Genomic DNA, 13,615 nt, shown 5'->3' on the forward strand with positions numbered 1-13,615 from the left:
CTCCCTAGCAGGGGACTCATCTAGGCTGTAAAGTGCTAGATCTGTTTGGCAGGGCTGGATTCCACACACCTGCTCACCTCCTCTTCCCAGCAGCCCTCCGGAGTGCCATGACTCGTTCCCACTACAGATGGCGGCAAGGAGGCTCCAAGGACAAACCCTGCCTGAAGTCACCTAGCTGCCACCTGGCCAGGCTTCTGCCAGCCAGACCCCCACTGACCAGGCCCCCACTGACCAGGCCTTCACTGACCACGTTCCCACTGACCCCACTGAGCAGAACCCTGAGCCGCGGTGATCAATGTCCCCTGCCAATGACCCCCCTCAGTCCACAGACCTCCCCTCCCCACATCAGCACCCACAGGCCATCCCCTGGGGGTCTTCTCGGGTCAAGGCCCCCACTCCAGGACACAGGGAGGGACAGTCGGCCTCAGGCTCTGGGTGCCCAGCTTCATGCTCGCCCCCAAAAGCCCTCTGCGCTCAACCTTAAAGGGGGCAGTGAGGTGGCCTGGCACTGCCTGGACATGATGTCTCGGCCTATTCCTGAGCCGCAGAGCCAGAGGAACGGGGGGACGTTTGTCAGACCAGGCACCCCGTTTTGCTGGGTCTCCCAGGGTTCTTCCTGCGGAGGCTGGATCCAGAGGCGCAGCACCGAGGCTGCAGGGTGACCGGCCCAGAAGCCTCGAGACTGGGCTGGGGACCACATGAGAACTGTCCCCAGATGGCCAGAAGACCCTTTGCTAATTTCCTGGTAGCTCATTTCCCACCAGCTACCCTTGCCCCACCAGGAATCCCCTTCTGGCAGAGTCAATGAGGAGAGGAAGATGGTCACAGAATCCATGGAAAGAAAGAAAACAAAATGACAATGGAACATCATCTATTTCCTGTCCATCTGAAAGGAAAGCCTAAGGAAGCCTATTGGGTTCCATCACCCTGAGGGCCCCGAGGATGGCATCACACAGTGCAATACCCAATGGCAGGGGCGGTGCTCCATCCCTGCAGACGTCATCGAGGGCACACCTGGGGTCGTCTAGGGTCATGGACCTGGCCACAGAGCAGAAACTGGGTCAACAGGAGTGCACACACGCACACAGGTGCACACTCACACACTGGAATAAAACGAATTTCGTAGCAAGTGGTCACGTGCGCGTGGGAGCGCGCGCGCACACACACACACACACACACACACACACACACCACTTGTTGCTGATCTGCTGACTTATCTCACTGCCATGAAACAGCAGCTAAGCCTGTAATTGCTCTGCCTTTCCTTGGATTTTTCCTTTAGTTTCTCTGACTGCTGGGTTACTGGCCTGTGTTTAGCTTCATGAACATGGGTTTCACTTTATTTTTATGGGGTTCCAGCTCTTGCTCATGGAATCCCTCCCTGCCTGTTCTGCAGTCTTCCCTTGTTTACTGCCTGTGGACTTCAAGTATCAGACACAGAGAAAGATTTGTAGATACTGTTTACTCAGCCCCCACAATTTCCATAGCAGGTCTCTTAATTCCCATCACCTCCAGGGAGGGTCATTGCTGGGATCCTAGGAATCAAGTGCCTTGTCTTGATGGCCACAGTGGTAACCATAATAGTCAGGTTTTCCCTCTGTGCAATTCTGGAACATAAAAATCTTCTCTGGTAACAAGACTACAGAAAGCAATGAAAGCAACACTAAACTGGGAGTTTGCTGGCCTGTGTTTCTAAGAAATTTAATGTTTTTACATAAACAATGAAGAAGAAATGACTTTTCTAAAGTTCCTGTCATTTATGCCATGGATTGGACTCTTCTGTGAAAGCAGTTTCATTGATGGATGTGGATAATTAGCTTAACTTCAAGTAAAAGATTAGAGAGCAAATTGTAAACATAACTGTGCTTTTTTACACTCAAATGACATTAATCAGACAGTTTTGGATCTCTAGAAATATATATTAGAACATGTAAGTTCTATATTGAAATGCGCAAGTTTGGAATCCTTCAGGTGACTTATTTTTCATCAACTAGAAATAATATTAAAATTGCAAAGATTTATTATGTTTTATATTATTTGTCCTAATGGAAAAAGGAATTCAAATATGTTTATTAAAGTATAATATACACAGGAATCCTATTATTCTACTACTCAGTGATTTATCACAAAGAGGACACATGCTTGGAGCTACCACACAGTCCAAGAAAATGAAATAAAAATAACAATCTGGAAATCCCTCTCCTGAAGGTCTGCTCCCTAACCACTGCCCACCTGTCTTGTCAAAGCAAAGAGTCACCTGGTTTTTAGCAGCCCCAATTAGTGTTGTCTGTTTCATAAATGGATGCATGGAGGGCCATTCAGTAGGAATGGTTTTGTGTGTGGCTTCTTTGGCCCAGCATTACATTTGTGACACTCCTTCAAGTGGTTTCATGAAGCAGTTCTTTTTTTTTTTTTTTTTTCGAGATGGAGTTTCGCTCTGTCGGCCAGGCTGGAGTGCAGTGATGCGATCTCGGCTCACTGCAAGCTCTGCCTCCCAGGTTCACACCATTCTCCTGCCTCAGCCTCCCGAGTAGCTGGGACTTACAGGCGCTTGCCACCATGCCCAGCTAATTTTTTTGTATTTGTAGCAGAGATGAGGTTTCACTGTGTTAGCCAGGATGGTCTCAATCTCCTGACCTAGTGATCCGTCCCCCTCAGCCTCCCAAAGTGCTGGGATTACAGGCGTGAGCCACCGTGCCCGGCCCAAGCAGTTCATTTCTTTTCCCTGCTCAGTGGTGCTCTGCATGAATATGGCACATCTACCAATTCTACTGTTGATGGACATTGGTTTGTTTCTAATTTGGGACTACAAGCAATAAAGCCACTATGAACATTCTTGTTAATTTCTTTTGGTACACATGTATAGATATTTTAGTTAAGTACAGCCCTACAAATAAAATAGCTTGGTCATGGTAACTGCATATGTTCAAATGCAACGCATGTCACTAAAAATGTCAGCTAGGAGGAAAAGCTCAAGAGCTCTATTGTACAACATGTTGACTACAGTTAATAACAATGTGGTAATACTTGAAATTGTTGAGACAGCAGATTTTAAATGTTCTCACCACAAAAAAAAAAAGATAAGTATCTGAGGTAACTGATATGCTAGGTAGCTTGATTTAGCCATTCTACAATGTCTGTCTGTTGCTATACATATATATACACAGATTTAGCTATTCTACAATGTGTGTGTGTGTGTATGTAAAATGTGGTATAGCACAAATACATACAATTTATCAATTAAATTTTAATTCCAAAGATTTTTTTGACTAATATATAACCCAACCACAAGTTTGAGAGTTCTAATTAGATGTCCTTTCCAACACCTGATTTTGTCAGTCTTCCTTTTATATATTCTGGTTAGTGGATAATGTTATTTCGTTTTCATTTATTTTGGTCTTCTGATTATTAAAAGGCCTGATACCACTTTCATAAATGTTTATTGAAAATGTATATAATCAGGCTGGGCACGGTGGCTCATGCTTGTAATCCCAGTACTTTGGGAGGCCGAGGTGGGCGGATCTCTTGAGGTCCGGAGTTCGAGACCAGCCTGGCTAACATGATGAAACCCCGTCTCTACTAAAAATACAAAAAAAAATTAGCTCGCCATGGTGGCAGGCGCCTGTAATCCCAGCTACTCGGGAGGTTGAGGTGGGAGAATTGCTGGAAACCGGGAGGCAGATGTTGCAGTGAGCCAAGAACGTGCCACTGCACTCAAGCGCGGGGGACAAGAGCGAAACTCGCGTGGTGGTGCGTACGCCTGTAATCCCAGCTACTCAGGAGGCTGAGGCAGGAGAATCGCTTGAACCCGGGAGGCAGAGGTTGCAGTGAGCCGAGATTGCACCATTGCACTCCAGCCTGTGCTTCAAGAGCAAAACTCCGTCTCAAAAAAACAACAAAAAAAGAAAATGTATATAATCATATTTTCAGGGGTCTATGCAATTTTTTATACTTTTTCCAATGTGGTTATCAATCTTTCTAAATGATCTTCGAGAAGTTTTTAAAAATAAATTCTTGACATAAATTTTTGGGATTTTGTCAGTTAAAGGTGGAAATATCTTCTCTTTAAGAAAGAGCTTGGCTGGGCGTGGTGGCTCACGCCTGTAATCCCAGCATTTTGGGAGGCCGAGGCGGGCTGATCACGAGGTCAGATGGAGACCATCGTGGCTAACAAGGTGAAACTCCATCTCTACTAAAAACTACAAAAAAAATTAGCCGGGCGTGGTGGCGGGCGCCTGTAGACCCAGCTACAGGCTGAGACAGGAGGCAGGAGAGGAGGCTGAGACAGGAGAATGACGTGAGCCCGGGAGGCGGAGCTTGCAGTGAGCGGAGATCGCACTCCAGCCTGGGCGACAGAGCCAGACTCAGTCTCAAAAAAAAAAAAAAAAAAGAAAGAAAGAAAGAAAAGGAAAAAACAAAGAGCTTATTAGGCCGGGCACGGTGGCTCACGCCTGTAATCCTAGCACTGTGGGAGGCCGAGGCCGGCGGATCACGAGGGCAGGAGATTGAGACCATCCTGGCTAACATGGTGAAACCCTGTCTCTACTAAAAATACAAAAAATCAGCCGGGCGTGGTGGCGGGCGCCTGTAATCGCAGCTACTAGGGAGGCTGAGGCAGGAGAATCGCTTGAACCCAGGAGTTGGAGGTTGCAGTGAGCCGAGATGGCGCCACTGCACTCCAGCCTGGACTACAGAGCAAGACTCCGTCTCAAAAAAAAAAATAAAATAAATAAAATAAAATAAAAAGAGCTTATTAATGGATAATCATTGGAGATGTTAAGTTTTAGGTAAGATAGAAAAAAGGGTCTTTTAACATAGTTGTATTATATATATTTTTGCCTTGTATTTTCATGTTACAGAATGGGTCTAACTTTGGGTCAATATATGTGTTCACTTAATTTTTTTCTAAATTTGGAAGTAACCTGAAATTTACACAAAGACTACAATAGAATTACAAAGGATAGCCAGGTTCCTCTTAGACTGACACACAGTTAACGTTTAATCCTGCTTGTTTTATCATTTGCTCTTTCTATATACAAATTTTTCTTGAATCATTTCAATTTCATACATTACTCTTCTTTACCTCTAAATACTTCCAATATGCATTTCTCAATAATGAGGATATTATTAATACTTTACACAACCATGATACAGTTATCAACTGCAGTAAATTTAACATCAATACATTACTTTTATCTATTCTACTGCTTGTATTCCAGTTTTGAAAAATTGAACCAACAATGTCTTTAGGAGATTTTCTCTCACACAAGACCTAGTCAAAGATCCTGTATTGTATTTAGTTGTCATGATGCTTTAGTCTCTTTTAATTTGGAAGTTATTCAGCTTTTCCTTGTCTTATGTGACATTAATATTTTTGAAGGCCCGAACGGAGCGGGGCCTGCTGAGCGGGCGCGGCACCAGCCGCCGCAACCCAAAGCCCCGGGCTTCCTGCAGCCACCGCCGCTGCGCCAGCCCAGGACGACCCCGCCGCCAGGGGCCCAGTGCGAGGTCCCCGCCAGCCCCCAGCGGCCTTCCCCGCCCGGGGCGCTCCCAGAGCAAACGAGGTCCCTGAGAGCTCCACCTAGTTCACAGGATAAAATCCCACAGCAGAACTCGGAGTCAGCAATGGCTAAGCCCCAGGTGGTTGTAGCTCCTGTATTAAGGTCTAAGCTGTCTGTGAATGCCCCTGAATTTTACCCTTCAGGTTATTCCTCCAGTTACACAGAATCCTATGAGGTTGGTTGTGAGGATTATCCTACTCCATCAGAATATGTTCAGGATTTTTTGAATCATCTTACAGAGCAGCCTGGCAGTTTTGAAACTGAAATTGAACAGTTTGCAGAGACCCTGAATGGTTGCGTTACAACAGATGATGCTTTGCAAGAACTTGCGGAACTCATCTATCAACAGGCCACGTCTATCCCAAATTTCTCTTATATGGGAGCTCGCCTGTGTAATTACCTGTCCCATCATCTGACAATTAGCCCACAGAGTGGCAACTTCCGCCAATTGCTACTTCAAAGATGTCGGACTGAATATGAAGTTAAAGATCAAGCTGCAAAAGGGGATGAAGTTACTCGAAAACGATTTCATGCATTTGTATTCTTTCTGGGAGAACTTTATCTTAACCTGGAGATCAAGGGAACAAATGGACAGGTTACAAGAGCAGATATTCTTCAGGTTGGTCTTCGAGAATTGCTGAATGCCCTGTTTTCTAATCCTATGGATGACAATTTAATTTGTGCAGTAAAATTGTTAAAATTGACAGGATCAGTTTTGGAAGATGCTTGGAAGGAAAAAGGAAAGATGGATATGGAAGAAATTATTCAGAGAATTGAAAACGTTGTCCTAGATGCAAACTGCAGTAGAGATGTAAAACAGATGCTCTTGAAGCTTGTAGAACTCCGGTCAAGTAACTGGGGTAGAGTCCATGCAACTTCAACATATAGAGAAGCAACACCAGAAAATGATCCTAACTACTTTATGAATGAACCAACATTTTATACATCTGATGGTGTTCCTTTCACTGCAGCTGATCCAGATTACCAAGAGAAATACCAAGAATTACTTGAAAGAGAGGACTTTTTTCCAGATTATGAAGAAAATGGAACAGATTTATCCGGGGCTGGTGATCCATACTTGGATGATATTGATGATGAGATGGACCCAGAGATAGAAGAAGCTTATGAAAAGTTTTGTTTGGAATCAGAGCGTAAGCGAAAACAGTAAAGTTAAATTTCAGCATATCAGTTTTATAAAGCAGTTTAGGTATGGTGATTTAGCAGAACACAGGAGAGCAAGAAAATGTGTCACATCTATACCAAATTAAGGATGTTGAGTTATGTTACTAATGTATGCAACTTTAATTTTGTTTAACACTATCTGCCAAAATAAACTTTATTCCCTATAACTTAAAATGTGTATATATATATATATATATATATATATATATATATATATGTGTGTATATATATATATATAATAGTTTATTATGTACAGTTAATTCTACTGTTTTGGCTGCAATAAAATCGATTTTGAAATAAATGAAATGTTGAAAATTTTGCTAGTTGGTTAGATGCTTATCCTTTAAATTCTACTTTTCTTGAGGTGAAAAAGTCTTCCTCTGGAAATACATATCACTGCAAAAATGTAGCATCCTTTTTTAGGTAGGAGTATTATAGCTTTCATTTTAGTTTGACATTTAGTGTCCCAATGAATTGAATTTCAAATATGAATCATAATCTTGAAAATCTTTAGCACTAAAGTCTTGGAATATATCAACAACTGATTTACATATGCAGATGCTATTTGATACCAAGGGCTTTTTAAATGTCATGGGGGGGAAATCCCAACTTGGTGAACTCCCAGCTAAACAGCCAAGACTTCACTGAAGATTTATTCCAATTCTAGAATTGTTCTTTTTTATTTTTATTTTTTCAACTGACTAACTTCATTACCTTAAAGCCTAGAACATTATTCTGCTTTATTTATATGGCTTTCTCACTTTTATTTTGTAGCATGGGTTGCATCGACTTTTTTACTAGAGAATTTTACTAGATATTTGTCATTCAAGTTTTCATCTGCTTTATAATTGATACACCTTGAGGGTCACTTTTCTAATACTTTTACTATAATGTGGTACCACCTCAGCCCTAATAAATAATATTTTTACCTAATGTCAAATCTTTTTCCAGCTAACTAAAAACTATGTACAAAAGGATTGCTTGTAAATATGCATGTAAATAGTTCTGTTAATAACCCACTGTTTTACATTTGGTACATCTGTGTCTGCTAATACAGTTAGCTTTCTCACTTTTCTGCTTGTTTGTTCAGTCTGAATTAAAATTAGACTTTGAAAATAAAGCTTAAATAGTTCTGTTTCCTCTAAAAAAAATATTTTTGAAGAATGCAGTCCTTTTAATAGTCCTCATTTTGGAGTTTGTCAAATATTTCTTCATGATTAGATTCCTGTTATGCATTCCCAGCCAGAATAGTACACACATTATGCTGTGTCCTTCTCATGGTATCACATCTGAGGCACAGAATGGCCATGTGCTGCTTACTCATATTAATTTTGATCATGTAATCAAAGTTTTTCCCAGTTCTTCCACTATATAATTATTTTTTGCCTTGCAATTGCTAATCATAACAAGCAATCTCTGGAAAAGATACTTCAATTCTATGCAAATATCCTGTTCCTCATCAAAATTTCCCCTTAGATTTAGCATCCATTGATTCTTGCTTGAATCAGTCTTTACTGTTATGGCTACAAAATGATAGTTTTCCAGCTCCAACATTCCCTTCGCATTTACCCATTGGCATAGGATATTCTGCGGTAAGCAAGTGTCCTCTGTTATCGCTCATTTATTTACTTATTATCAATGTGAACTCATGGACTACTACTTCTTCAATGGTTTGCAATTCATCATTTTCTTGTTTTGCTGCTCAAATTGTTCTGGATTTAGTCAGTGAGGGCTACTTCCTGTGTCTTTGTGACCTACCCTCATCATTTTTTTGAGTGCTACTTTTTTTTTTTTCTGGAATAAGATGTTCCAGGATCTTCTTGGAGTTTCCTTCCCTCAGACCTGCAATCAGCCATTTTTCTGAGGAGCCTTAGTTCCTTTTAGCAGAGAACGGTATCAGAAACCAAGATCTGGGCTCATTGCAACTGAGATGTCATTGCTTTTAGCCCGTTTCAGTAGAAAGAGCATGGAAATGTGTGTGCTAAGAAGGTGTAAAAGGGATGTGTGGCTGCAGGAGGTCATTTTATGTGTGTTTGTGAGTTTTGCTCATCTGCTAAGTTGCCTGTCTAATGTAGAGAGTTCTGATTATCTACATCCCAGTTAATTTCTTTGGTTAGCAAATTTGTGATTAATATGAGTGGCTGGGAGGCTGTATGAAAACAATAGTGGCAACGAAACTGTGCAGAAAAGTTAACATAGCAAGTCCGAGCCTGCTATCTTTAGAAAGACTTGCCTACAAGGTTGGCCACAGGCGGGCATCTGGGAAGTATAACTTTGGGATCGTTCCCGCTAATTCCAGAATTAAAGTGGATCACTGCTCCTAAACTGTCTGTAAAAACAATGAAGCTTATGCTGAACACCTGCTTTCCTTCTGAAGTCTGGAGTTTTGGTACATGCTAGACAGAGACTGCCTATGTGACTAGCACCCAGTACAAACCTTGGGATTTGAATCTCTACTGAGCTTCCCTGATAGATCACATTTCACACATGCTGTCACAACTCCTTGCTGGGGGAAATGAGCAAGTCTTGTGTGACTTCACTGGGAGAGGACTCGGGGAAGCTTGTTCCTTGTTTCCTCCAGACCTTGCCGCCCCATGAGCCTTTTCTCTTTACTGGTTTTGCTGTGTGTCCTTTTACTATAATAAACCACAGCCAAGAAAATGACAACATGCTGAGTCCTGGGAATCCTTCTAGTGAATCATTGAACCTGAGGGTGGTCTTGGGGATCCCTAAACATGTAGAAAGAAAATGTTATGTTTTTGTTTATCAAAAGAAAACAGGACTATTTTTCTCTTAGAGTGAAATGTGTGGTTGTTGCAGAATGCAAAAGATAGTTAAAGCATAAAACTGGAGAGGATGCTGTAAGTTTTGGAAGGTTTGGGGGAAAGTGAACTTTACTTGTGCTTTATAATAGCTGCAAATTCTGAAAAGAAGAAATAAAATGTATTAAAATTTTGACAAAAGTTGGCTTGATTTTGATGAGTTCATTAAAATCTATGAAATCTTTAATTCAAAATATTATATTTAAAAAGATTAAACTTCGGTTATCTTTGCTTAAATGATAGTTTGTTCAACAAGAGAAAGGGAAAGATCATTCTTTACCTTCTGTGTAATCTGCCCAAATAGTAGAAATTGTCTCTCATCAGAACTACAGTTTTGTGCTTTGTTCTGTGTTATGCTTTTCATTATACATACATATATATATATATATATATATATATATATATATATATATATATATATATATGAACAAAGCCAAAACAGACCCTTATCTTGGAGCTTATGATATGGCACTCATAAACAGGAAAATGTAAGAAATACTTGGGTTTGTTTGGTATGTCCTATAGTTATTAATTAGTTCAAAATGATTGTAAGAGCTGCTCTGTTTATGGGAAGAGGTGTCAGACCAAAGAGAAGGGAAACCTTCCCTAGTTTAATTTTGTATAGATATGTTACTAAAACAAATGTTTCAGAAACTGTATACTTACTTATGTTTGGAAGGCCCTGGAGATGTCCACACTGTATATAATGCATTCTTACTCTCAGGGGAACACTGATCAACTCCTCTTTGAAATAATCATGTGTTATACTCCAATAAAGGATTTTACTCTCCTTCATTCTGATAGTTATTATAATAAATTATGAAGTGTTAATTATAAATTCAGATGGAATTAAATGGTGCTGAGATAGCAAGAGAATGAGCTGATGACATCTTCTGAATATCTGAATCCAGTCATATCTGAAGCTAGATCTCACCATGGGTTTTTAAAAATTACAGTCCTGGGCCGGGCGTGGTGGCTCACGCCTGTAATCCCAGCACTTTGGGAGGCTTAGGCGGGTGGATCACGAGGTCAGGAGATCGAGACCATCCTGGCTAGCACAGTGAAACCCCATCTCTACTAAAAATGCAAAAAATCAGCCGGGCGTGGTGGCGGGCGCCTGTAGTCACAGCTACTTGGGAGGCTGAGGCAGGAGAATAGCATTAACCTGGGAGGTGGAGCTTGCAGTGAGCCGAGATCGCGCCACTGCACTCCAGCCTGGGCGACAGAGAGAGACTCTGCCTCAAAAAAAAAAAAAAAAAATTACAGTCCTGGATAACCCAGCAGGTTTGAGTCACTACAACATGAGATGCATAGGTCACAAGACTGGGAATTGAATCAACCATACATAAAACTATGTTTTTGATATGGCAAAAGTAATATTTATGGTGGTGGCTGCCCTATACCATCTTGGGTCCCTAAATGACTACTGATGAGCAAAGACTCCCTGCCAGGCCACAAAGGACAGGTAGCACAAGTTAGCATTAAGAAATGGCACCCTGGTGAGAGGTCCATGCTTTTTGTATACTAGAGCCTGGTCTCAAAGAATAGAAAATTATCATCAAAATATAACTCAGCAATGTGCAACAAAGCCCTTTCACATATATAATTTCACATAACCCTCACAGAAACTCTATGAAATCAATGTTGGAAATACTTCCTTAGTTGGTTTTTTTGTTTTTTTTTTTTTTTTGAGATGGAGTCTCGCTGTGTCACCCAGGCTGGAGTGCAGTGGCACGATCTTGGCTCACTGCAAGCAAGCTCTGCCTCCCAGGTTCACGTCATTCTCCTGCCTCAGCCTCCCGAGTAGCTGGGACTACAGGCGCCAGCCACCATGCCTGGCTAATTTTTTTGTTATTTTTAGTAGAGACGGGGTTTCACCGTGTTGCCAGGATGGTCTCAATCTCCTGACCTCGTGATCTGTCCGCCTTGGCCTCCCAAAGTGCTGAGATTACAGGCATGAGCTACTGCACCCAACTTTCTTAGGTTTTAAACTTCTGTCAATGTTATCACTGTTTGATCTTTGAAAAACTGCTCTTGTGGGGGGAATAGTTGGGGAGCAGGAGGCCAGATTGTCTTATTCATGCTGAAGTTAACTTCCAATAGCAGTGTTTGTTTTACCTGCACAGCATCTTTGGATTTATTTGAGGGAAGCACCCTGTCCCCACCCACAGTGCAAGTTGCATCAATGGGATGGACTCCACCCTCTCTTCCTCCAGGGTTTTACACAGACTCAAGCCTGGTCGATGAGAGGACCCCATTTCCAGGGTGGTATTATAAAAGGTTCAGTGATCAGCATGACTCAAGCAAAGTGGAGAAGTAGCCTCAGGGATTTTGCTGGAGCTATTTGGAAAGAGGTACTTTCCTTGGAATTGTGAATGCCAAGAACTGTAATATAACTTCCAAGTGCCAGTAGGCTATTTGTCGCTGCAAGAGACTAAGAAAAGCACATCCAACAGAGAGGAAGCCAGAGCAGAGATGGAGGCGGACAGTCCTCGATCTATTAATAGCAAAGCATTTATCTCTAGTTTGACTCCATGGATTGCCCCAGATATGTGAACTTTGCTAACATGATGATTACGTGTTTCATGAATTGGTGGGAGTGGGAGGGAGGTGAAGCATGCACCTTTTTTGTATAGTCCACTCAATCTAAGGGATTTATAAACAGAGGTTACATCATGAAAAAAATAAAAAACAATTCAGTAAAAACATCTAATTTTTTGAGGTTTATAAGTGGAAACTACACAGTAGGACCAGATGCCACATTTTATATTTATTACTACAGGGAATAGCCTTCTACCTTGTCAATAAAACTTATGGAGAGGGACAGCTCACATGGCTACGGGTCCCAAGACTGCCTAGTTGGGGCCCAGAAAGAATTACACAAGGAAGGGAAGAAAGCAGGCTTCCAACTTGAGTCATCTTCTGATAAACACATTGTTTTTTTTTTTGAGACGGAGTCTTGGTCTGTCATCAGGCTGGAGTGCAGTGACTCAATCTCGGCTCACTGCAACCTGCATCTCCTGGGTTCAAGCGATTCTCCTGCCTCAGCCTCCCTAGTAGCCACCACACCCAGCTAATTTTTGTATTTTTAGTAGAGACAGGGTTTCACCATGTTGGCCAGGATGGTCTCGATCTCTTGACCTCATGATCCACCCGCCTCAGCCTCCCAAAGTGCTGGGATTACAGGCGTGAGCCACCGCGCCCAACCGATAAACACATATTTTTAAAAGTGAGAACACATCTAAGAAAATAAAAACTATGACAGATTTTCAATAGATAATTGATCTAGTTAATTGCCAATCAATTTGAATATTTAGTATTCTTACATTATCACTTTTATACTTTTGGGTGATATTACATTGTCTTCCCCCAAACCAGATATAATTGAAAACTTACACAAAATCAGATTTTTATGACATTTTACCTATTTTTTTTTTTTGGGGGATGGAGTTTCGCTCTTGTTGTCCAGGCTGGAGTGCAATGGCACTATCTTGGCTCACTGCAACCTCTGCCTCCCGGGTTCAAGTGATTCTCCTGACTCAGCCTCCGAGTAGCTGGGATTACAGCCATGCATCACCATGCCTGGCTAATTTTGTATTTTTAGTAGAGATGGGGTTTCTCCATGTTGGTCAGGCTGGTCTCGAGCTCCTGACCTCAGGTGATCTGCCTCCCTCAGCCTCCCAAAGTGCTGGGATTACAGGCTTAAGCCACCGCACCTGGCCCATTTTGCCTAATTTTAACTGTGCTTTTTATACGAAGTTATTCCCTCCCTTTCACCCCAATTAGCCCTACTGAGTAGTGCCTATACCTGGCCTGGGGACTCAGTACTACTTGTTAGAAACTATCTTCCTCTACTCCTTAACCTTCTTGCAGATACTTGGGTTGCTGACGGTATCTCCCATCCCATCTCTCCAGAAGTTGTGAAGCCAGATGACCAGCTAGAAATGGGATTGGTATCCTGAATGATATGGAGATATTTTTTGGTTGGTCCTTCATTACATCTTAAAATATGCTTTAAAAAAGGAAGAATTTAAAAGAAATTTACAAAAG

General features: G+C 41.8%; 1 pseudogene, besides 2 other annotated features; it reads left to right on the forward strand.

The window, feature by feature from the left end:
* Positions 45-546: an enhancer, noted in NCBI's record as "H3K4me1 hESC enhancer chr17:18548171-18548672 (GRCh37/hg19 assembly coordinates)". NCBI's record gives its function as "activates a minimal SCP1, AML or CMV promoter by ChIP-STARR-seq in naive H9 embryonic stem cells {active_cell/tissue: H9 hESC(naive)}" and the evidence as "EXISTENCE:reporter gene assay evidence [ECO:0000049][PMID:30033119]".
* Positions 5,471-5,971: an enhancer, noted in NCBI's record as "H3K27ac hESC enhancer chr17:18553597-18554097 (GRCh37/hg19 assembly coordinates)". NCBI's record gives its function as "activates a minimal SCP1, AML or CMV promoter by ChIP-STARR-seq in primed H9 embryonic stem cells {active_cell/tissue: H9 hESC(primed)}" and the evidence as "EXISTENCE:reporter gene assay evidence [ECO:0000049][PMID:30033119]".
* On the forward strand, positions 5,554-6,926 carry PAIP1P2 (PAIP1 pseudogene 2; annotated as a pseudogene).
* The last annotated feature ends 6,689 nt before the right edge of the window (positions 6,927-13,615 follow it).

This window comes from Homo sapiens, chromosome 17 (genome assembly GCF_000001405.40).
Source record: "Homo sapiens chromosome 17, GRCh38.p14 Primary Assembly".
NCBI classification, from domain to species: Eukaryota; Metazoa; Chordata; class Mammalia; order Primates; family Hominidae; genus Homo; species Homo sapiens.